The sequence below is a fragment of the Homo sapiens genome, chromosome 17 (genome assembly GCF_000001405.40).
Source record: "Homo sapiens chromosome 17, GRCh38.p14 Primary Assembly".
In the NCBI taxonomy this organism is placed as follows: Eukaryota; Metazoa; Chordata; class Mammalia; order Primates; family Hominidae; genus Homo; species Homo sapiens.
The window spans coordinates 1,951,998-1,977,031 of NC_000017.11; the positions used below are offsets into that span (position 1 = coordinate 1,951,998).

Consider the following 25,034-nt stretch of genomic DNA (forward strand, 5'->3'; position numbering starts at 1 on the left):
TCAGGGACAGCAGGACGGCTGAGGCTCTGCTCCAGGACCTGGGCTGAGAGGGCACCCTCTACCCAGAAGCTGCTGCTCTCCTAGCAGAAGGGAAAGACTTGTGCACGTGGCCCTTGCCCTTTTGTTTCAAACGACACATGTCTCTCCTGCTCACATTTCATTGGTCAAAGTAAGTCACGGGGTCCAGCTGCCATCATGCACGAATACCCCCAGGGGAGTTTGGGGAATAGTGAATATCTGTGAGCACCCAGAGACCACGCTGCATGACGTTTTGCCATGAGGGGCAGCGGAGAAACGGGGCTGGACTTGGAGGGGCATGGGTCAAGGGAGGTTGGTTTTTTTTTTTTTTTTTTTTTTGAGATGGAGTGTCACTCTGTCGCCCAGGCTGGAGTGCAGTAGTGCGATCTCGGCTCATTGCAACCTCTGCCTCCCGGGTTCGAGTGATTCTCCTGCCCCAGCTTCTTGAATAGCTGGGATTGCGAATGCAGGCATCCACCACCACGCCCGGCTAATTTTTTCATATTTTTAGTAGAGACGGGGTTTCATCATGTTGGTGAGACTGGTCTTGAACTCCTGACCTCGTGATCCACCCGCCTCAGCCTCCCAAAGTGCTGGGATTACAGGCGTGAGCCACCACACCCGGCCTCTCCTCCCCCATTTTCATTCTGCACAGGTCCACCCAACCCCCCTCCTCTTGGCAATCAGGATCCAAATTTCCTTCAGAGGCAACCATGTGCTCCTCTAGAGGAGCCGGGCTCCTCTCCTGCCGGGGGTGAGTCTTTGTCTACTTCACTGTCTGGGGTTGGTTTAAACAGGAGCATGTAATCCCAGCACTTTGGGAGGCTGAGGGGGGTTGATCACCTGAGGTCAGGAGTTCAAGACCAGCCTGGTCAACATGGTGAAACCCCATCTCTACTAAAAATGCAAAAATTAGTCGGGTGTGGTGGCGTGCCTCTGTAGTCCCAGCTACTCGGGAGGCTGAGGTGGGAGAACTGCTTGAACCCAGGAGGCAGAGGCTGTAGTGAGCCGAGATTGTGCCACTGTATTCTGGGTGACAGAGTGAGATCTAGTTTCAAAAAATAAAATAAAATAAAATAAAATAAATAAATATTAAAAAATAAAAATTAAGGCGAGACATGGTAGCTCATGCCTGTAATCCCAGCACTTTGGGCGGCAAAGATGGGAGGATTGTTTGAGCCCAGGGTTTGAGACCAACCTGGACAACATAGTTAGAACCCATCTCTACAAAAAATACAAAATCAGCTGGGCACAGTGGCATGCACCTGTAGTCCCAGCTACTCAGGAGGCTGAGGCGGGAAGATCACTTGAGCCCAAGAGCTTAAGGCTGCAGTGAGCCATGATTACACCACTGTACTCCAGCCTGGGTAGAGCGAGATCCCGTCTCAAAAATTAAAATTGGGGGGAGGGATAGCATTAGGAGATATACCTAATGTAAATGATGAGTTAATGGGTGCAGCACACCAACATGGCACATGTATACATATGTAACAAACCTGCACGTTGTGCACATGTTCCCTAGAACTCAAAGTATAAAAAAAATTGAATTAAAAAAAAAATTTTTTTTTGAGACAGAGTCTCACTCTGTCACCAGGCTGGAGTGCAGTGGCGTGATCTCGGCTCACTGCAACCTCTACCTCCTGGGTTCAAGCGATTCTCCTGCCTCAGCCTCCTGAGTAGCTGGGATTACAGGCGAGCACCACCAAGCTCGGTTAATTTTTGTATTTTTAGTAGAGGCGGGGTTTCACCATGTTGGCCAGGCTGGTCTCGAACTCCTGACCTCAAGTGACCCACCCGCCTTGGCCTCCCAAAGTGCTGGGATTACACGCATGAGCCACCGTGCCTGGCCATTAAATTTTTTTTAAAGGATTGGGAGATACAAGGAAGAGATGTTCTACCTCCTGCCTCTGGGTGTGGCTGGACGAGCATGAAATGCATGGCCCTGAAGCCCCATCTTTCAACCATGAAGGGACCAGCCCAAAGGCTAATGTCAGCTTGCCAGGACTACAGAGTAAAACGGAGAGAACCTGTGTCCACAGTGATCTTGTTAAGCCAATGAGTCAACCAATGCTGGAATTTCCAAACTTCTTGTCATAGAACATGGTAGTATGTCCTCTTTCTGTTTAAGCCATTTTGGGTTGGATTTTCAATTACTTGTGTCCAGAAGTGTCCCAACACGCCTTCCAATGAGTTCCTTTTTTGCTCAGTCAGTCAGACAAGATTTCTCTTGCTTACTACTAAAAAAAAGTCTAACTTACATACTGGGCAACTCTGTGATTTGGCTCAGATGGGACCTGCTCCAGAAGCCTCCCTGGACTCACTCTTCCTTTCCTTTCCTTTCCCTTCCCTTCCTTCCTTGCTTCCTTCCTTTTTTTTTTTTTTTTTTTTTTGAGATGGAGTCTCGCTCTTGCCACCCAGACTGGAGTGCAGTGGCACGATCTCAGCTCACTGCAACCTCCGCCTCCTGGGTTCAAGTCATCTCCTGCCTCAGCCTCCCAAGTAGCTGGGATTACAGGTGCTCACCACCACGCCAAGCTAGTTTTTGTATTTTTAGTAGAGACGGGGTTTCACCATGTTGGCCAGGCTGGTCTCGAACTCCTGACCTCAGATGATCCACCCGCCTCGGCCTCCCAAAGTGCTGGGATTACAGACAGGAGCCACTGCGCCCAGCCACTCCCACTCTCTTCTCTCTCCACCCCAGAGGCGCAGCACTGCTGCGCGTCCAACTGGTTCCTGGTACATAGAGGTCATCCTGCTGTCTGTCAAGTCAATGAATGAATGAATGATTTAGCTGATGTCATTCCAGTCAAAAGCAAAAACCCCAGGTGGCCTTATTGTGGGTAAATGGAGATATATAATAAGTTGCAGCAGCCAGACGACCCCAGGGTAGGTAACTTATGCTTACAGGATAAGTTGACTACCAGCCATTTCCAGCCTCAGCTCACAGATAATTCTCCTCGGACCCTCTGCAGGATTTCTCCTCACTGGCTGCTTGAGATGCCTGCAGTCTCTAAGAATCTCCGGTCCCAGGCCTTAAATTACCTTCTCTTCTCTGTCAGCCTGAGCGCCGCCCTTTCACTAGGGACCTACCTCTCACCAGCCACGAGCCCCTGCCAGTCTGTGACCTCAGGCCCAGGAGGTTGAGCCCAGGTAGCATTTAGCATAGGCCTTGTGTGCGGTCCCCAACCCTATTTCTCCCTGTAAGGTTTTTATTTAATATCACTCATCTTTATTTACTTTCAAAATAATACTTGCCAGGGCTGGGTGAGGTGGCTGACACTTGTAATGCCAATAATTTGGGAGGTCAAGGCAGGAGGATGGCTTGAGTCCAGGGGTTTGAGATAGCCTGGGCAACATAGTGAGACTCCATCTCTATAAAACATTTTAACAATGAGCCGGCTGTGGTGGCACATGCCTGTAATCCCAGCTACTCAGGAGGCTGAGGCGGGAGGATCACTTGAGCCCGGGAGGTCAAGGCTGCTGTTAACCATGATCATGCCACTGCACTCCAGCCTGGGTAACAGAGTGAGACCCTATCTCAAAATAATAATAATAATAGTTATTATTATTACTATTATTATTTTTTGAGAGAAAGTCTCACTCTGTCGCCCAGGCTGGAGTGCAGTGGCGCGATCTCGGCTCACTGCAACCTCCACCTCCCGGGTTCAAGCGATTCTCCCATCTCAACCTCCTGAGTAGCTGGGATTACAGGCGCCCACCACCATGCCCGGCGAATTTTTGTATTTTTAGTAGAGACAGGGTTTCGCCATGTAGGCCAGGCTGGTCTCGAACTCCTGAACTCAAGTGATCCGCCCGCCTCAGCCTCCCAACGTGCTGCGATTACAGGTATGAAATAATTATTATTGAATTAAATAAGACTTGCCAGTTGTGGAAAACATGAAAAGTATAGAAGTAAAAAGGAAGAAAAATCACTACAGTCCCATTACCCTTGACAACCATTGACAGAGCCTTGCTGTATCTTCTTTCAATACTTCCCTTTTTATATGGAGCTATATAAAATTTAAATAAAAATTTTATTTAAAGAAATAAAATTGGGATCATGCTATATATGGAGTTCTGTATCCCGCATTTTCTACTTAAGACCATTCCATTCATTCAGCAGCTCTCAGGGGGTCTCTATCTTTGAGGCTGTGTACTAAGGAAGCAGCAGGCAGCTCAGCAGGCAGAGGGGCCCCACCACCCAGCGGGGTGCAGGCGAATAGGTAAACAGGCACTCGTCAAACACCACGCCCAGATACAATCGCAGCTCCTAACGCGTACGGCGAAAGATCCAGGTAGCTATGAGAACTGCGGGGTTTCCCTCATCAGTGGGGGTGTGAAGCCTTGGACAGCCTCGGAGAGTCATCAGTGGGGGTGTGAAGTCTTGGAGAGTCTGAAGGCTGAGGACTCAAGTGGGGGCCTGGTGGGGGGGCGGGTTCCAGCCAGAAGCAGTAGTCTAGGCTGAGGGCCTGGGGCCAGAGGCAATGCACAGTTACTTAACAGAAGAGGGATGCGGTAACAGGCACGATGTTTAGAGACTGCAGAGTATCCCACTGCATGGACAGACTGTAATTTATTTATCCGTGAAAGAGTTAGATCGTTTCTCATTTTTCACTGTTACAAATGATCATGGCAGAAATTGGTAACAGTTGCCTCCTGGGAGGGCTGCAGGGGAGCTCAGGGTCTGGGGTGAGGGAAACATCACTGCATACCTGTCGGGAACTTTTTTTTTTTTTTTTTTTTTTAAGATGGAGTCTCACTCTGTCGCCCAGGCTAGAGCGCAATGGTGCGATCTCAGCTCACTACAACCTCTGCCTCCCGGTTCAAGTGATTCTCCTTCGTCAGCACTCCCCGAGTAGCTGGGATTACAGGCGTCCACCACCACGCCCGGCTTTTGTATTTTGAGTACAGACGGGTTTTCACCATGTTGGCCAGGCTGGTCTCGAACTCCTGACCTCAGGTGATCCACCCGCCTTGGCCTCCCAAAGTGCTGGGATTACAGGCGTGAGCCACCGCGCCCAGCCAGGAACTTTTGATGTATTACCACATGACTGTATCTATTGATTCTTTTCAAGAGTCAGTTAAATTAAAACTAAATAACGTTGGAATGAACATCTTTGTGCTCACGGCTTGGTTCAAATACCTGATCCTTTCCTTAGATCAGATTGGTTGAGTCCAAGTGCTCCTGACATTTGCTGATGAGTCACCTTTCAGAACATTCAGCTCCTAAAACCTCAAGTTCTACACTCGGAAAATCACCAGCTGTGGGAGCTCTCAGAGATTCAACCCTTTCCTCTGTTTGCCTTCCCAACTGGCCCGTGAGCTATGTAAAACAGACCAGGCCCGTGAGCCTCATATGAAGAGGAGACCGTGGGGAAGGGAAGGGGGTTAACATGTGCTGGACCCCTTCTGTGTGCCAGGCCTACCCACGCTGGGGGTGTCCACATACACGCTTTGAACAGTCTCCTCTCAATTATTATAAGGGTATTAATAGCCTCATTTTACACTTGAGAAAAATGAAGCTCAACAAAGTGAGGTGGCAGGGCCGGGTGCAGTGGCTCACACCTGTAATCCCAGCACTTTGGGAGGCTGAGGCGGGTGGATCACCTGAGGTCAGGAGATTGACACCAGCGTGGCCAACATGGTGAAACCCCGCCTCTACTAAAAATACAGAAATTAGCCGGGCATGTTGGTGGCGGGCACCTGTAATCCCAGCTACTCGGGAGGCTGAGGCAGGAGAATCGCTTGAACCCAGGAGGTGGAGGTTGCACTAAGCCTAGATTGCACCACTGCACTCCAGCCTGGGCAATAGAGTGAGACTCTGTCTCAAACAACAACAACAAAACAAACAAACAAACGAACAAACAAACAAAGTGAGATGGTGGGTTGCAGCACTCACACCTGTAATCCCAACACTTTGGGAGGCCGAGGCAGGAGGATCACTTGAGCCCAGGAGTTCAGGACCAGCCTGGGTAATGCAGTGAGACCCATCTCTACAAAAACTAAAAAAATAAAAAATAAAAAAAAATTAGCCCGGCATGTCAGGGCACACCTGTAGTCCCCGCTACTTGAGAGGCTGAGGAGGATAGCTTGAGCCCAGGAGTTCAAAGGTTGCTATGGGTTGTGATTGCACCACTGCACTCCAGCCTGGGAGACAAAGTGAGATTGTGTCTCAAAAACAAAAACAAAAATAAAACCAAAGCGAAGTGATTTGTCCAAAATGGTGGAGTCAAGATTCAAACAAGATTGCCGTGGCATCCGACCGTGGGAGGAGACATCTCTCTCCTTAGAGGCCGCTGCTGCACAGAGACCCCTCTCCCAGCATCGGCCCCCGCCAGTGCCCCACCAGGCACCCCGTCCCCACCTCCCATGAGCCGTGTCTTTGCTCCCTTGCCAATAACTTCATTCCTCCCCTGTTTTCATTATTAATTCCCTCTTCTTGTGCTTCACACTCATGAGGCCGGGGAAATGGACAAGGCGGTTGGGGAAGGAAGTGGAAATTCTGTGTAATACCATCATCGGTATCACAAAACTTGTCTTAAGTGCCAGCCCCAGGGATTTGCTGGAGTTGGCACGACAGAGGTGGGGCTGAAGGTCAGATTAAATTGGACTAGTAACCCCAGGGGATACTTGAAAGAGGTTGCTAAAGAAACAGTTCCGGCAGGATCGTGCAGCAGCTGAGGCAGGCAGCTGGCAGCAGCGTGCGGGCCGGCCGGCCAGATCAAGCCTGCTTAGCAGGGCTTGCTGGTGACAGGCCTGGGTTCACACGTCCTCCTCCGGAAGCCTGAAATCTTGCCTTTTCCCCCCAATAATGAGTTGGTATAAAAATGGATCTTGAATAAAATTGTCTGCAGTTTTCAAATTTCAAACTGCATTAGTCAAAATATATCAAATTTCCATGTACTGACTTACCACCTGCTCAAAATCTGATCCTTTTTCAGCTGGAATATATTGAAATATGAATCACCTCCTGAGAGGCAAAAGGGAAAAGACGCGGAGGGTGAGGCCCTCTCAAAACACGCCGGTGGGCGAGCGGGAATCCTGGGCTCCGCTGGGCTCCCCCGGCCTCCACCTGACAATGGCTCCTTTTATTTCCGGGGTGGCCCAGGCCTCTTGGCCACTTCCCTTGATCCTAGGTTTCTGGCTGAGACCCTTATACTCTGGGCAGTCTATGGCACACAGTGCAGAAACTAATCATTTCATGCCTCTGGCCTTTAATAAGCACCTACTATGTGCTGGGTGCTCAGACTCACCAGAGAGGCAGTCCTATCATGGTATTGCTGAATCTAATAGTGTCTTCTTCATCCTAATCTGCTCACCTTGGCAGCACTGGACACAGTTGGCCCTCCCCTCTGGAAACTCTTTCTTCTCTTCTCTTCAGAGACCTGGCTCTGTCGTCTTGTCTGCCTTGCTGCCTGCTTCTTCTTGGTCTGCTCTTCCCGGCCTGATGACCACATACACCTAAATCCCCAGAGCTCAGCCCTTGAAACTTCTCTCTTCTGTAGTCACACCTGTCCCCAGGTGAGCTTGTCCAGGCCCAAGTCTTTGTTTTGTTTTGTTTTGTTTTGAGGCAGAGTCTCACTGTGTCACCCAGGCTGGAGTGTAGTAGCACGATCTCGGCTCACTGCAACCTCCACCTCCCATGTTCAAACGATTCTCACACCTCAGCCTCCTGAGTAGCTGGGATTACAGGCACCCGCCACCACGCCCAGCTAATTTTTGTATTTTTAGTAGAGACGGGGTTTCGCCATGTGGGCCCAGCTGGTTTCGAACTCCTGACCTCGTGATCCACCCACCTCGGCCTCCCAAAGTGCTGGGATTACAGGCGTGAGCCACCGCGCCCAGCCAGGCTCAGGTTTTAAATACCATCTTCATAGGGGTGGGGATTAGACATGTGTTCTGGCTCTAAACTGCAGACCAGTCCACCCGCCTGCCCGCCTGGCACTGCCACGTTAGTATCTAATAAGCAGCTCAAACTCCGATTGTCCTGTGTTCACCGTGTAGGCTTCCCTGTCTCAGCAGGTGACACCTGTAGCATTTCGGCTGCTCAAGCTGGAAATGCAGGTGTTATTCTCCATTCTTCCCTTTCCTTCATCATCTCTTCCTTTAATCCACTAAGTCCCACTGGCCCCACCGTCAAAATACATCCCAAATTCACATCACCCCGCCCCCACCACCCCCACCCTACCCTGGGCCACTCTCTTCTGTTCCCTGGACCTCTGCCGTGGCCACCCTCACTGGTCTCCCTGTTTATATTGCAGCCCCATCACCACCCACAGCCTAAGCACAGCCAGAAGGATCTTCAAAAACAGTAAGTGCTATCATGTTACTTTCCTGCTCGAAATCTTCAGTGGCTTTCCATTGCACCAGAATAAAATGCAGGCTGCTCACCAGCCCACGTCGCCCTCGTGAGCGGCCCCACCTCCCTCTCCAGCCCCGTCCTGCGCCACTCTTCACAGCGCTAGCTGCACTGGCCTCTGTTCCTAGACCACAGCGAGCTCATTCTTGCCTTGGAGGCTTTGTTTTCTTGTAAAATATACACATTTTTATTACAAATAAATAACTAAAAGTTAACATTTTAAAGCGTACAATTCACTGGCACGCAGCATATTCGCAACTATCATCACTATCTGGCTCAGAACGTTTTCCTCACCCCAAAAGGAAACTCCATCCCCCTTAGCAGTCACTCCCCATTCTCCCTCCCCCAGCCCCTGGCAAACACTAATCTGCTGCTTTCTGTCTCTGTGGATTGGCCTCTTCTGGATATTTCATACAAATGGATCATAGCACGTTGGCCTCGGAGTTTTCACACTGACGGTTCCCACGGGGCCCTCTCTGCCCCAGGCCTTTGGGGGACCATCTCCTTCTTAACATTTGTCTTGGCTCAAAAGTCACCTCCCTGTCTCCAGCCGATGCCCACGGCCCCTCTGCTCCTGGCCACTCTCAATGTCATAAGGACCCAGCCCTATTTATTTCCCTTTCAGCACCTAACACTCTCTGAGAGCACCTTGCTTAATTATTTGTTTACACATTTATTGTCTTTCCCCTTGTCGCTCCCTGTGATATCCCCATCCCCGGGACAGGGCCAGGCACCCAGGTAGTGCTCAGCAATTATTTGTGGATTGAATGAGCCGGTTCACTATCAAGCACTCGGATGAAGCCATCTACAAAGATAAAGAAACAGCCAAGGAAGGAAGAAAGCGGTGCTGCTGGGGAGGGGAGGAGTAACCAGGAAAAGTCACGAAGGGAAGGGGGGCCTGGAAGGATGACTAGAAGCTCAGCTGGCCTTCGGGGTGGAAGGGGCATTGGAGGACGACGGGGCAGGGCATTCCAGGCAGAAGGAACCGCATGGGCGGAGGCCTGGAGGCGCGAGAGAGGGAGACAGCAGTCACGGTAGGAGTCACGTGACGGCCTCTCTAGTTTGCAATTTGTCCCCTAACTGATTGGCATTCACTGGCCTCCCACAGAGAGAACATTTAACACAGGTCTGGGAGTTGGGTTTGATACAACACGTAAGGGACTGAGAGGAAAGAAAGGGTGGAGTCTCTTTTGTTCGTTTCTTCTTCCCTCCTCCCACTCTTGTCCTAGTGTGCTCTGGACACCCCACAGACACAAAGAAAAGTAGGCCGGGGCCAGGCGCGGTGGCTCATGCCTGTAATCCCAGCACTTTGGGAGGCCGATGCGGGCAGATCACTTGAGGTCAGGAGTTCAAGACCAGCCTGGCCAACATGGTGAAACCCTGTCTCCACTAAAAATACAAAAAAAAAAAAAAAAAAAAAAAAATTAGCAGGGCGTGGTGGCATGTGCCTGTAATCCCAGCTACTTGGGAGGCTGTGGCAGGAGAATCGCTCGAACCCGGGAGGTGGAGGTTGCAGTGAGCCAAGATCACACCATTGGACTCCAGCCTGGGCTACAGAGCGAGACTCTGCCTCAAAAAAAAAAAAGAAAAGAAAAGAAAGAAAAGAAAGAAAGAAAAGAAAAGCAGGCCGGGCGTGGTGGCTCATGCTTATAATCCCAGTGCTTTGGGAGGCTGAGGTAAGAGGATCACTTGAGTCCAGGGGTTTCAGAACAGCCTAGGCAACACAGCAAGACCCTATCTCTTAAAAAAAAAAAAAAAATTAGCCAGGCGTGGCACGTGCATGCAGTCCCAGCTACTCAGGAGGCAGAGGTGGGAGGATTGCTTGAGCCTGGGAGGTGAAGACTGCCATGAGCCATGGTGCGTTACTGCACTTTATCCTAGATGACAAATCAAGACCCTCTCTGGAAAAAAAAAAAAGAAAGTAAGAAAAAAGAAAAGAAGTAAGAAAGAAAAAGAAAAAACAGACTAGTTACCAGTTTTCTTTTTATTTACTTATTTTTTGAGATGGGGTCTCACTCTGTCGCCCAGGCTGGAATGCAGTGGTGCAATCTCAGCTCCCTGCAACCTCCGTCTCCCGGGTTCAAGTGATTCTCCCTGCCTCAGCCTCCCGAGTAGCTGGGACTACAGGTGCTCGCCATCACGCCTGGTGTAGTTTCCAGTTTTCTGATTTAAAATCATCTTGTAACCACCTTTTAAGAGTCATGGGAAGGCCAGGGGTGGTGGCTCACACCTGTAATCCCAGCACTTTGGGAGGCCGAGGCAGGTGGATCATTTGAGGTCAGGAGTTCGAGATCAGCCCGGCCAACATGGTGAAACCTCGTCTCTACTAAAAATACAAAAACTAGCCGGGCAGGATGGTGTGCCTGTAACCCCAGCCACTCGGGAGGCTGAGGTAAGAGAATAGCTTGAACCAGGAGGCAGAGGTTGCAGTGAGCCGAGATCGCACCACTGCACTCCAGCCTGGGCGGCAGAGGGAGACTCGATCTCAGAAAAAAAAAAAAAAAAAAGAGATGTGGGAAGGTAGGGAGGGCAATGAAGTATATTACAGATCATTGCCAACTCTATTTTATTTTTTTTTTAAGAGACAGGGTCTCACTCAGTTGCCCTGGCTGGAGTGCAGAGGTATAATCATAGCTCACTGCAACCTCGAACTCCTGGGCTCAAACGATCCTCCTGCCTCTGCCTCCTGAGTAGTTGGAATTACAGACATGAGCCACAGCACCTGGCTTGTCAACTGTGTTTTAATGGTCAGAGGAGGGTCCCCGCTCTTTGGGTTCCTAGGAGGAAGGCAGAGCTGGGATGGACCTGGGATGGCTTCCCATTGGCCCTCCCCAGCCTCATCTTTCTGGGCTGAGCCACCAGCCCCTCTGGGCGTAGAGCTGTCTGTGAGCCCCGTGTCCTTCATTTCTCTTGATTGAATCAGGCCTGGCTGACCCAGCCCCGTGGCTCTGGGAGTCCAGCTGAGCTCCCAGGAGGAGAGGCCCTTGCCCAAAGCCAGGAGGCTCACAAGGGCAAATTCAATTGTGGGCGAGGTAGGAGCCATTAACCTGTCTGTGGACTGCAGCTCCCCCACCTTCTCTCCCTCTGCCAGCCAGGCCTGTCCAGGCTGCCTCTGCTGGATCCCTACTGCCCGCCACCTTCAGGGGCTCCCTGCTGCCTCTGGGCTGTGTCCACCCGCCTTTGCCACTCGGCACCCCATAGCTGTCATCACCTGGGCCTCTAGGATCAGAGCGGATTTTGAGGTGAGAAGGAGAACAAATCTATGGGAATTTGCACTTCACCATGGAGGCAAACCAGGCTCTTGGCCCTTCCCAACTCTCAAGCTTCCGGGTGCAATCTGCCCTTCGGAGTTTTTTCTTTTTCTTTTTCTTTTTTTGAGACAGTTTCGCTCTTGTTGCCCGGGCTGGAGTGCAGTGGTGCGATCTCGGCTGAGCGCAACCTCCACTTCACGGGTTCACGCCATTCTCCTGCCTCAGGCTCCCGAGTAGCTGGGATCACAGGCGCCACCACGCCCGGCTCATTTTGCATTTTTAGTAGAGACAGGATTTCACCATGTTGGTCAGGCTGGTCTCAGACTCCCGACCTCAGGTGATCCACCTGCCTCGGCCTCCCAAAGTGCTGGATTACAGGCGTGAGCCACCGCGCCGGGCCTGCCCTTGGGAGTTCTAATGGGGAGGAGGTCCTGGAGGCAGGTGGGAGTCACTTGAGAAAAGCGTTCTGGGGTCTCAAGCCTCCGGAACAGTCTGGGGCTGCGCTGTCCAGCATAGTAGCTGCTACGCACACGTGGCTTCCAAAAACTTGAAATGTGCTCACTTCAAAGACTTAGTAAGAAAAAGAATAAAAATACCTCATGAATAATTTTATATTGATTGCATGTTGATATTGCAATATCATATTTTGAATATATTTGGTTAAATATAAAAATATTTTAGGCCCAGTGTGGCTCCTCACGCCTGGAATCCCAGCTCTTTGAGAGGCTGAAGTGGGAGGGTTGCTTAAGTCCAGGAGTTCGAGACCAGCCTGGGCAACATGGCAAGACCCCCATCTCTACAAAAAATTTAAAAATTAGCCACACAGGTCGGGTGTGGTGGCTCACGCCTGTTATCCCAGCACTTTGGGAGGCCAAGGCAGGTGGATCATGAGGTCAGGAGATTGAGACCATCCTGGCTAACATGGTGAAACCCCGTCTCTACTAAAAATACAAAACATTAGCCGGGCGTGGTGGCGGGCGCCTGTAGTCCCAGCTACTCGGGAGGCTGAGGCAGGAGAATGGCGTGAACCTGGGAGGCGGAGCTTGCAGTGAGCCGAGATCACACCAGTGCACTCCAGCCTGGGCGACAGAGCAAGAACCTGTCTCTAAAAAAAAATTTTTTTAATTAATTTCACCGTTACAGTTTGCATTTCTTTTCTTTTCTTTTTTTTTTTTTTTTTTGAGATGGAGTCTCGCTGTGTCACCAAGGCTGGAGTGCAGTGGCGCAATCTTGGCTCACTGCAACCTCCGCCTCTCGTGTTCAAGAGATTCTCTTGCCTCAGCCCTCTGAGTAACTGGGACTACAGGCGTGCGCCACCACGCCTGGCTAATTTTTGTAATTTTAGTAGAGACAGGGTTTCACCATATTGGTCAGGCTGGTCTTGAACTCCTGACATCGTGATCCGCCCGCCTCAGCCTCCCAAAGTGGTGGGATTACAGGCGTGAGCCACCGCGCCTGGCTTACAGTTTGCTTTTCTTTTCTTTCTTTCTTTTTTTTTTTTGAGACGTTGTTTCACTCTTGTTGCCCAAGCTGGAGTGCAATGGCGCGATCTCACCTCACTGCAACCTCTGCCTCCCGGGTTCAAGTGATTCTCTTGCCTCAGCCTCCCAAGTAGCTGGGATTACAGGCGCGCGCCCCCCATGCCCAGCTCGTTTTTCGTATTTTTAGTAGAGATGGGGTTTCACCATGTTGGTCAGGCTGGTCTTGAACTCCTGACCTCAGGTGATCCGCCCACCTCGGCCTCCCAAAGTGCTGGAATTACAGGCATGAGCCACTGCGCCCAGTCCAGTTTGCTTTTCTAATATGGCTACTAGAAAATCTAATGTACCTGTGGCTGCACAGAGTTGGTCTTGAGTGGGGAACACAGGCTCTGGGTGGGTCCATCTCCCTGGCCCCATGGACTTACTGTCCTTTGGGGTGGGAAGCAGCAGGAAGCAGGCCAGAGTGGGCCCCCCTCTGAAACACCCAGTTACCGTGGAGGAGCAGGGCAGGCCAGGAGCCCCGAATGGGTCTGGGCGACCCTCAGGGGTGCAAAGGAGAGTTGGCTCAAGGTAGAGGTGGTCTGGGGCCTCTCCCAGTTCACTTTCCAGGTAAAGACCCCTGGCCCCGCCAGGCCCCCACTGCCCTCAGCGCTGACCGACACCTGTCCAGCCCATTTTTGCGGGAAGTCTAGCTCCTCAGCCCCAGGACTCTCCGCCCTCGTCTGGGCTCTGTATAGCAAAAGGCCATGTGCCTGTGGTGAGGACTATGGCTTCTGCCTTCCCCCCACCCCTGAGAGGGATGGCTCGCTCTCTTTCCCTGCTTCAAAGCCCAGAACACCCTCTCAGGCTCCCCACTAAAGCTCCTGCTTCCAGCTCAAGAACAGGGCAGGCTCGCTGACACAGCCAAGACAAGCACATCACGAGCGGCTCTGGAGCTAAGGAAGGAGCCCAGCCTCCTGCTCAGGTCAACAGCCCCCCGCCCACCTCCCTGCCCCTCTGTGATGGCTCATTATTCCGGTATTCCCAGGAGACAGATGGAATTTTCCCCACCAGCGCCTAATTACATTCCAACTCGACGTGGTACAGTGACATGTGTCCAAGCCGCGTACGATTCCCAGTGTGACTGAGAGCTGAACACTCTGCAAAAGGGTCCAAATGGGGATGTTTCAGTCTTGAGGTGTGTGTTGAGCTGTTACCTGGGGAGGCCCTGGGGCGAGGCCCCCTCTCCTGTCAGGAGCAAGCCCCATCTGGAACTAATAGAACTCAGCCTAAGGCTACAGCTGGGCAGGCAGAAGATGCTTCAGATGGAAACCGATGGAGGGAGGGGGTGTAGGAAAAGCATTCCCTGAGGGCCTGTCCCAAGGGAGGGAGAGGATTCTGACCCGGAATCCAAGGAGCAGCCTAACTTCCCTGGACAGGAGTGCTTCCCAGCGCTCAGTGGAGCGATCTCAGCGTGCTCCTAGCCTAGGAGAGTCCCTGGGCTGGGGAAGGGCAGTCTCTGTCTTGGGGTTCCCTGTCTGTGTGGCCCGAAGTTCCAGGGACTGCCCCCACCCACTAACATAGCCAAGGGTCTGATGTTGGGTGTGGAGGCTCCTAGAGGACACAGAGATCCTCTGCCCTCTGCTTCTCTCCAGAACCGGTTCTGTCATCCTGTGATGGGAATGGAGCCACTACTGGTTCCTGGTTTAACATTTTACCTAGTTCCGGCATTGCCACCACCAAAGCTCTTCTCCACTGAGGGCTTCCCAGCTTCACCCCCTCCCTCACTGCCTTCAGGGGCCCTTCCAAACCTCGCCCAGTCTCTCCCTACCTCACCTCCAGGCCTGGCCCCTGGCCTTCCCAGCATCCTCACACATCCCTCCCAGAATTATGGGCCCTCTGCCTCTGGTCCCATTCTCTCACTGCTCCTGACCCCGAGGTCTCAATTCAAATGATTTCAGAGGCCACGCAGGAAACAGAAGAGGCTAAAGTGGGCAGGGAGGTGGTACAGGTGGCAACCCAGGAGCCAGGCCCCTCTGCAGGCCCCAGGCTCCCGCCGCTCCTCCCCAGAAGGAAGAGGGGGCCCTGGGTTATCAATTCTTTGGATTTTGCCAGAGGCTGGGAATCAGGATTTTTGCATGCAATTGGTTGGCAGCAAATTCGACAAAACAAACAAAACAAACAAAACACTGTGTGGGCCAACACAGCTCCACCTGCAGCATGGATTCCGCCGGAGGCCAAGGCTTCTGACAGCTGCCTTCCTGGTCTAGATGGCCCCCTCAGCATCCTCAGCTCCCCGCCCCCGCTACCCACCACGCCTCGCCGTCTGTCTGTAGACTCAGATCAAGCCTCTCCCCTTGAACCACAAAACCCGCCCAACCCAAATCTCCCTGCAGCCACTGCCTCACTCTCCTGCCCTTCACAGGCAAACTTCTCCAAAGGCCGCCTCCTCCCTGGCCTCTCCCTCTTCGAGCCCTACACCTGGAATTCTACCCCTCCTCCCAGACAGCCATGCAGACTCCTGCTGTTGCCCAAGCCCAACACTTTCCAGTCTCTCTCTTTCTTTTTTTTTTTAAAACAGAGTCTCACTGTCACCCAGGCTGGAGTGCAATGGCGCCATCTCAGCTCACTGCAACCTCCTCCTCCCAGGTTTAAGCGATTCTCCTGCCTCAGCTTCCCAAGTAGCCGGGAGTACAGGCACCTGCCACCACGCATGGATAATTTTTGTAATTTTTAGTAGAGACGGGGTTTCACCATGTTGGCCAGGCTGGTCTCGAACTCCTGACCTCAGGTGATCCACTCGCCTCAGCCTCCCAAAGTGCTGGGATTACAGGCGTGAGCCATCGGGCCCGGCCTCCAGTCTCTGTCTTGCCTCAACTGCCCTGAGGTCAAAGTCCCCTTGAAATCTCCCCCTCTCGGTTTCCTTGACACAACGCCCACCCGGGACCACTCCAACTTTCCTGGACGTTCCTTCTCAGCCCCTGGCATGGGCACCTCTTCTCATTTTACCCACAGCCCGTGGGAGCCACCGTGACCTGTGCATATACTGGTGGCTCCAGATTCCCCTGATCTCAGCACTCTGCCGACTCCAATTCCGAACTGCTTTCCGCACAGGTCCTCTGGAATCTCCTGGAGGCTGCCCCCTCAGCATTCCCCAAATGAAAAGCACCCCGTCCAAACCCTTTCCCTCTTCCTGGGCCACCCTCTCAGTGACTACCACCGCCTCCATCTGCCAGAAACCCAGGACGCTGCCTTCTCCTCTCCCCTTGAGTCGGGTTCACCAAGTCCCATAGCTCGGGCCGGCCGTCCTCTCTCCTGACAGATCAGCTGCCTCCTCACTCATCTCCTGCCTTTGCCTGGCCCCACTCCCCCTTCTCTATCGGAGTTTTTCTAAAACTCAGCTCCGATGGTGTCACTCCCAATTTCTGTGACCCTTCTTGCAGGAGGATTTCTGACTCTGCCCTGGGCTCGAAGCCAACACTCATCTGCAGTCAGGAGCTCAGCGCACTCAGGAGCTAATGTTCCCTGCATGTGCCATGTTCCCTCCCATCCCCGGGCCTGGGGTCACACCATCCCCTCTCCCTGGGATGCCCCTCCTTCCTGCACATCCCCGGGCCTGAGGTCACCCGTCCCCTCTCCCTGGGATGCCCCTCCTTCCCGCACCTGCCTGGCTCATTGCACTTGTTCTTTGAACTTGGCACAGGCTAAGGGGATTGTCCCCCTTTGGGGCTTACCCAGAACACTGTTCATTCGACCTGGCCTCATAATTGTCAGTTTACATGTAGGTATCTATCGCCGAGTGACAGACTAGAGGCACAAATGGACAGTGCCAGGCCACATATAAAAATAGAACTCTGACCCATGGTCTGCAGCAACCAGCCCAGGAAACCAACCCATGATCTATAGCAACCAGCCCAGGAAGCCAATCTGCTGTCTACAAGTCAGACTCGTGGGGGAGCTGGACCACTGTCCCTTTTTTTTTTTTTTTTTTGAGATGGAGTCTCACTCTGTCACCCAGGCTGGAGTGCAGTGGCGCAATCTCAGTTCACTGCAACCTCTGCCTCCGAGGTTAAAACGATTCTCCTGCCTCAGCCTCCTGAGTAGCTGGGATTACAGGCACCCACCACCACATCCAGCTAATTTTTTTATTTTTAGTAGAGACAGGATTTCACCATGTTGGCCAGGCTAGTCTTGAACTCCTGACCTTGTGATCCACCCGCCTCGGCCTCCCAAAGTGCTGGGATTACAGGCATGAGCCACCATGCCCGGCCCGGACCACTGTCTCTAGCAAACAATCCGAGAAGCCAAACAAGGACCTCTGCAACAGTCTGCCCAGAACAGCTAGGACTTGATTAGTTTCCCTCATTTTTGTCCCCACTTCTAACTTCAGACCAACCAGAGAGAAAGCCAAATATGCTCCCCTAGCCGATCACAGTGGATGAGCTGCTTCCCCTTAGCCAGCCGCCAGCTTCCCTAAGCGAACAGCCTCCAGTCAGGGCAGGCTTGAAGCTTTCCCATTTTCCTCTATAAAACTTGCCCACTCCTCTGCCTGCCTGGACTATCTGCCAGAATTTGAGTGAGGTGGCTGGCTCCCTTGCTATAAAAGCTCTGAATAAGTAGCCTTTACCGGTTCTCATTTGGTTGGTCATTTATTTCCACATGTGTAACAAACCACTCTGAACACGAGGGCTTAAAACAAAACCATTTCTTACTACAATAGTCCTGTCCATGAAAAAAAGTTAATGATCTCATGACTCTGTGGGTCAAACAGGCTCAGCAGGATGGTTCTTCTGTTGTTCTCACTCCAGGTGTCTCATGTGGTTGCAGTCAGATGGTGGCAGGGGCTGGAGTCATTTGGGAACTGAGTTATGATGTGTAGACACCTGAGCCTCTCTCTCTCTCCATGTGGCCTCAGGATTTCTGCTCTCTCTCTCTTTTTTTTTTTTTTTTTTTTGAGATAGAGTTTCACTCTGTCGTCTAGGCTGGAGTGCAATGGCGCAATCTCAATTCACTGCAACCTCCGCCTCCCAGGTTCAAGCGATTCTCCTGCCTCAGCCTCCCAAGTAGCTGGGATTACAGGCACATGCCACCACGCCTGGCCAATTTTCTGTATTTAGTAGAGATGGGGTTTGACCGTGTTGGTCATGCTGGTCTCGAACTACTGACCTCAGGTGATCCACCTGCGTCAGCCTCCCAAAGTGCTGGTATTACAGGCGTGAGCCACTGTGCCTGGCGAGGATTTCTCCTCTTAATGTGGTCTCTGTGCACGATCTCTCCAGCAAGGTAGCTGGATTTTTTACCTGGTGGCTCTGAGCTCCTAAAACCACAGCGTGAAACTGCCAGCCTTCTTAAGGCTTAGGACCTGAACTGGCACAGCCTTACTTTCACTGCATTCTACCCGTTAGATCCAGCCGCAGACCCAGCCCAGGTTCCACGTGGGAAGGGGCCCTCGTGGGACAGGCGTGGCAGGAGGGATGGGGGCCATCTTTGGAGACTGGCCACGACCCAGCTTCCTTCCCCGCTGACACTGTGTTCTTGGTCTCTGTGCCCTCGGCATCTAGCAGGGTGCCTGTCCGAGTCAGTGCTCAGCAACACCTGATAATCAAGGGACTGGAGGGAAGGACGGTGGGTCCGACAGATGGACAGAAGGGCTCCACACTGGCTCCCCTGCCCCCAGGCTCCTACCACCCTGTTTAGTTCACATAAACACGGCTCTCTGCTGCCTAACACTCCTCTATTTTTAAACCTCTCAAGCAGTGAGTGGTGCTTAACATTTTTTGAATCAGGGACCCCTTAAGGAATCTCATGAAAGCTGTAGGAGACCCTCTCCCTAGAGAAGCGAGCCTACACATAATCACTCACACTTCTGCAGTATATTAATGACGGCTGCCCTTGACTAAGATCTTACCACGTGCCAGTGACTGTGAAGGCACATTGTGTACATTACCCGACCTCTTACCCCAAACATCCTGCAAGGTAGATGCTACTCAGTATGGTTTGGCTCTGTGTCCCCACCCAGATCTCATCCCTTATTGTAATCTCCATGTGTCGAAGGGGGAGGTGATTGGATGATGGAGGCAGTTTCTCCCTTGCTGTTCTCGTGATAGTGAGGGAGTTCTCATGAGATCTGATGGTTTATACGTGTTTGACAGTTCCTCCTTCACATGCTCTCTCTCCTGTCGCCTTGCGAAGAAGGATGTGTTTGCTTCCCCTTCCGCCATGATTGTAAGTTTCCTGAGGCCTCCCCAGTCACGCAGAACTGTAGGTCAATTAAACCTCTTTCGTTTATAAATCACCCAGTCTCGGGTGTTTCTTTACAGCAGTGTGAAAACGGAGTAATACGCTACTATTTGTTCAGTTTTATAGATGAGGAAGCTGAGCCTCAAAGAGGTGAAGGAATAACTAGAAAGAGGTAGAACTGAGGCTCTGAGCAGGAAGGTCTAACTGCAAAGCCACGTACTTGGCTGGGCATGGTGGCTCACACCTGTAATCCCAGCACGTCGGGAGGCTGAGGTGGGAGGGTTGTGTGAGCTCAGGCCTTGGAGACCAGCCTGGACAACAGAAGGAGACCCTGTCTCTACAAAAAAAAAATTTAGGCCAGGCACGGTGGCTCAAGCCTGTAATCCCAGCACTTTGGGGGGCAGAGGCGGGTGGATCACGAGGTCAGGAGATCGAGACCATCCTAGCTAACATGGTGAAACCCCGTCTCTACTAAAAATACAAAACATTAGCCAGGTGTGGTGGCGGGCGCCTGTAGTCCCAGCTACTCGGGAGGCTGAGGCAGGAGAATGGCATGAACCTGGGAGGCGGAGCTTGCAGTGAGCCGAGATTGCGCCACTGCACTCCAGCCTGGGCGACAGAGCCAGACTCCCTCTCAAAAAAAAAAAAAAAAAATTTTAAACATTAGCCAGGTGTGGTGGCACACACCCGTAGTCCCAGCTACTTGGGAGGGTGAGGTGGGAAGATCACTTGGGCCCAGGAGGTCAAGGCTGCAGTGAACTGTGATCACACCACTGCACTCCAGCTGGGCAACAGAGCAAGATGCTGTCTCAAAAAATAAAGTAAAATCAAATTAGCTGGGCGTGGTGGCAGGCACCTGTAGTCCCAGCTACTTGGGAGGCTGAGGCAGGAGAGTGGCTTGAACCCAGGAGGTGAAGGCTGCAGTGAGCAGAGATCGCGCCACTGCACTCCAGCCTGGTGACAGAGCAATACTCGGTCTCAAAAATAAATAAATAAATAAATAAAAATTTAAAAAAAAAAGTAAAATCAAACCCCTCTCTAAGTGCTCCTAGAGTCCTACTTCCTGTTCTAAACACCCGGCCTGGCTTCAAGGCCCTGAATAAGCCAGAGTGATAACTCTGTGCCCCCTCTTAGATTTCTGGCCGCTCTCAGGCCACCCCTCCTGCTCCCTTCAGCCTGGCCACCCTTGACCCTTCCCGCTTTGCGGCCCCTCCCCTGCAACGCCCTCTCTACCCTCTGTCTCCACCCTAAGGTCAAGTCTCCCTTCTCCCTGGAGATTTCCTCGACCCTAGCCTGCCCCAGACTCGTGCCTGTTTTCCCGCCCACGTGGAGCTCTCATCATTTCCTGAGTAAAAGTGAACTTCCCGACTCAGCCGCAAGTGCCTCGAGAGCAGAGACCCATCGTCCACGTCCTTCTCACTTTCCAGACAGGCACTGGCATCAACGCTAACTGTTCACAGACTCCTCCACAGGCCCATTTTCTATGCGATTCTGTTGTTTCCTGAATCCTCAAACCCAAAGACTAAATGAACCTCCAGAGGGGACCAGGCCAGAGAGAGCCTGGCTGGAGCTGGACTTCTCTCCTCTCTGCAGATGAAGCAGCGGCCGAAATGAAATGCAGAGTCCGACCCCCACCTGCTGCTCCAGCGGGGATATCAGGTGTCATCTGTTTCTTTCTTTTGCATTCTCAGTGGATACCATGTTGCACGAAATCTGTGGCTGCTTTTGTTTCCCAATAACAACAAATAAAGACTAGGCTGGGCACGGCGGCTCATGCCTGTAATCCCAGCACTTTGGGACGCTGAGGCAGGCACATCACTCGAGATCAGGAGTTCAAGACCGGCCTGGCCAACATGGCAAAACCCCGTCTCTACTAAAAATACAAAAAAATTAGCCGGGCGTAGTGGCAAACGCTTATAATCCCAGCTTCTTGGGAGGCTGAGGTGGGAGAATCACTGGAAACCTGGGAGGTGAAGGTTGCAGTGAGCTGAGATTGCACCACTGCACTCCAGCCTGGGCAATAGTGTGAGACACTGTCTTAAAAAAAAAAAAAAAAAAAGTCTGGGTGGGGTGGTTCACACCTGTAATCCCAGCACTTTGGGAAGCTGAGGCGGGCAAATCACTTGAGGTTACAGTGAGCCGGGATCGCGCCATTGCACTCCAGCGTGGGCAACAGAACAAGACTCCATGTCAAAAAAAAAAAAAGCAATCCCAGCTTCTTGAGTTCCTCAGGATTCTGCTCCCCTGGTGTCCTCCACCCAAACTAGGTCATGAACAGAAAGCAGAGACTCCCATTGGTCCAAGGACAGACGTGACTGACCAGTCCTGTCCCCATCATTTCTGTCTCTGAGGCCTGGCCCCAGCCCCGCATGTTAGCTTGAGGGACAAGGTTACACTTTGCATATAATGATACATTTAGTTAAAAAGAGCTGGCCGGGTGTGGTGGCTCATACCTGTAATCCCAGCACTTTGGGAGGCCGAGACAGGCGGATCACCTGAGGTCAGGAGTTTGAAACCAGCCTGGCCAACATAGTGAAACCCCGTCTCTACTAAAAGTACAAAAATTAGCCGGGTGTGGTAGTGTACACCTGTAATCCCAGCTACCGGGGAGGCTGAGGCAGGAGAATAGCTTGAACCCATGAAGCGGAGATTGCAGTGAGCCGAGATTGCGCCACTGCACTCCAGTCTGGGCGACAGAGCGAGACTCCGTCTCAGAAAAAAAAAAAAAAAAAAAAGCTATCCTTAGGAGGGGGGAAAGGTTACATTTAGTTCTCACTACCACCACACATGGAAACTGTTTAATAATAAAACTTTCCAGCCTGGGCAACAGGGCGAAACTCCATCTTTACAAAAAAATACAACAAATTAGCCAGACACAGTGGCCTGTGTCTGTAGTCCCAGCTACTTGTCTGCAGTCCCAGATGAGATCTGGGTGGGGACACAGAACTACTGTAGACCCAGCTGCAGAGATGAGAGGATGGCTTGAGCCCAGGAGGTGGAGGTTGCAGTGAGCTGAGATTGTGTCATTGCACTCCAGCCTGGGCGACAGAGCAAGACTCTATCTCAAAAACAGAACAAACCCTCCATTTTACAGATGAGAGAGAACCAAAGCTTAGAGAGGTAAATGACTTGTCCAGGACCACTGTGTCAGCTGAGTGTCATTATGTAATTTGAGGAGAGTTTAATAAAGGGATGATTGACAAAGGTGTGGGTGGGGCCTAGGGCATCCACAGGGATAGTAAATAACAGGCAAGAACCCACTGGTGTTACTACCCAGGGTCTGAAAGGGTAAAGAAAGGGACTGGAAATGGGAACCCAAACAGGGAAGCCAGGTGGAGACGGGCTCTGACCAGAGCGAGAACTTTGGTCAGGGGCAGTGCCAGCCTGTGGGGGTGGGGAGGGGGGAGGGAATAAATACCCAGCGGTCACTCTCCTCCTCACTCCCCTCTCTCACTCTGCTCACCTGCCACTGTCTCCCATCGGCTGAACCTGAAGGCCGAGGGCAGGAGCCCACTGGTGTCATCAGCATAGGCCAGCTTCCCAGGCATGGTGCCTGATGGAAGGGCAAATGGGATGTCCCAGCACCTTTACTAGCTGGGAAGGAACAAGCCTGCACTGAAACTCAGCCTCACTCGCTGCTAAAGGCCAAGCATTTAGCCCTTCCACTACCATCTTTCCATGGGGTAGAATCCAGAGGCCCAGGGGCCCCCACTGCCCTGAGTGTTGGCACCTGCGGCACCCCCACCCATGGTGATCTAACTCCTACCTTGCTCTCAGCACACGGCTCTGATCCCAAAATGTACTTTCTAGTTTTGAGAGAAGACATGGTACAGGGAGCCGAGGAAATCCCCAGCAGAGAGGAGCTGTTCTACGATTAACCTAAAGCCTCTTATTAGCATCTTTACCTAAAATGTCCCAAACACCCACCCAGAAATGAGTCTCCTCCACCCTGACTGGCTTCTTCCTTGGGGTAGTAAAAGGGTTTCAATGAAGATGTGAGCTGAGACTCTGCAGTTCAGAGCATCAGCAGAAAACTTTGGGGGGACCAGACGTGGTGGCTCATGCCTGTAATCCCAGCATTTTGAGAGACCGAGGTGGGTGGATCACTTGAGGTCAGGAGTTGGAGACCAGCCTGGCCAACATGGTGAAAGTCTGTCTCTACTAAAAATACAAAAATTAGCCAGGTGTGGTGGCGCGGACCTGTAATCCCAGCTACTCGGGAGGCTGAGGCAGGAGAATCGCTTGAACCCGGGAGGTGGAGGTTGCAGTGAGCTGAGATTGCGCCACTGCACTCCAGCCTGGGCAACAGAGTGAGACTTTGACTCAAAAAAGAAAAAGAAAGGAAAAGAAAAATAGAAAGCTTTGGTGGAAGGGAGATTAAGCTGCACCGTGTGACAGGAGGCTCAAAGCAAGCTAAGGCCACATCATCTCACTGAACCCTGCACCATTTGCAGATTTACTGAATCGAGAGCCAATTCTGACACAGTTTCTTTCAAGACGATCTACCTCACGGGTGTGCGAAATTTATTTGAGATAAAGAAAACCACTACAGAGAGAGCACAATCTTCAAAGCCCACCCCTGAGACCAGAAATAAATAAAAACAGTAGCCCGTACAAATACTTGGGAGCCGTGAGAAACGCCATCCCTGCAGAGAGCAGGTCTTTAAGGCAATTTTCTTGAACTCTATTCAGCACTCACTCAAAATGCCTTTTAAAAATAACATATGATTTTCCTCCCTCTCCAAATGCACCCTTGTTCTTTCTCTTTCAGGTAAGAATGAGCCAGCTCTGGAGTGAGAAAGGCAGTCACTCATGTTGATAGGCAATGATGGACTATGTTCCCAGGAGGGCAAATCCCAAAGCCAAACAATAGCCCAGGGCTACAGGAGTCTTGCTGAGCCACGAGAAGGCCCAGGGGCAGGGGGCTGGCCCCAGGGGTCTTCACTCAACCCTAGAAGGTCAAGGTTCCAGAGACCAGGCTCCTCTCTGAAGAGGTGTCGGCCCATGGCCTGGTCTGGGTTCAAATAATGAACACTTTCCCCAGATGGAGATTTGATTCCCTGTGAGAAGTCTCAGTTTCACTGTAAGGTTTGCTAAGAATGAAAGGATCTTCTCTCTGCATGAGGTTGAGGGAGTTACAAAGAGGTTTAAGTAGTGTTGGTGCTGCAGAAGGAAACGGGACCCACATCCTGGCCCTGCCACTCAGCAGCAGTGTGACTTTGGGCAGGTGGATTGGCCTCCTTGAGCCTCAGTTTCTGAGCTACAGTGGGGTACTTCCCAGGGCTGTTGGGAGGCCGTGCAGTTTATCTGAGTACCTAGTTACAGTCCCTGAATCTAGGCAAAAACCACTGCAGTTGGGGCTCAAACCATTGCCCCACTCCTGGAAAGAGACCACCACCCAGCTCACGGGGCAGGGAGCCAGGGGTGACACTGTCCAGAGACAGCACAGGCCATGGTTAAAACTAAAGCCCGGTCTTTGGGTGGAACTCGGCTGGGACTCAACTTGTCATTTAGTGGCTATTTGCTCTTGGCCAAAGCCCTTAGCTTCTCTGAACCTCAGCGTCTGTATCTGTGAAATGGGAACATTGATAACATGAGATCAAATGAGCCAGTCCAGGTACAGTGCTTAGCTAGTGCCTGGCTCGGAGTAAGTGCTTATTTTGTTACCATTGTGGCCTCTCAGATCAGACTCCCTGTGCTACCATT

At 51.8% G+C, this 25,034-nt stretch overlaps 1 protein-coding gene across 1 annotated transcript in view, besides 3 other annotated features; it reads right to left on the minus strand.

The window, feature by feature from the left end:
* Nucleotides 1-25,034, minus strand: part of RTN4RL1 (reticulon 4 receptor like 1) — a 90,658-nt gene that overhangs the window by 17,321 nt on the left and 48,303 nt on the right. The gene's annotated exons all lie outside the window — the stretch shown is intronic.
* Nucleotides 10,789-11,455: an enhancer, noted in NCBI's record as "H3K4me1 hESC enhancer chr17:1866080-1866746 (GRCh37/hg19 assembly coordinates)". NCBI's record gives its function as "activates a minimal SCP1, AML or CMV promoter by ChIP-STARR-seq in naive H9 embryonic stem cells {active_cell/tissue: H9 hESC(naive)}" and the evidence as "EXISTENCE:reporter gene assay evidence [ECO:0000049][PMID:30033119]".
* Nucleotides 18,984-19,184: a silencer, noted in NCBI's record as "peak2677 fragment used in MPRA reporter construct". NCBI's record gives its function as "represses an SCP1 promoter by STARR-seq MPRAs in K562 erythroleukemia cells {active_cell/tissue: K562}" and the evidence as "EXISTENCE:reporter gene assay evidence [ECO:0000049][PMID:32103011]".
* Nucleotides 23,954-24,569: an enhancer, noted in NCBI's record as "NANOG hESC enhancer chr17:1879245-1879860 (GRCh37/hg19 assembly coordinates)". NCBI's record gives its function as "activates a minimal SCP1, AML or CMV promoter by ChIP-STARR-seq in naive H9 embryonic stem cells {active_cell/tissue: H9 hESC(naive)}" and the evidence as "EXISTENCE:reporter gene assay evidence [ECO:0000049][PMID:30033119]".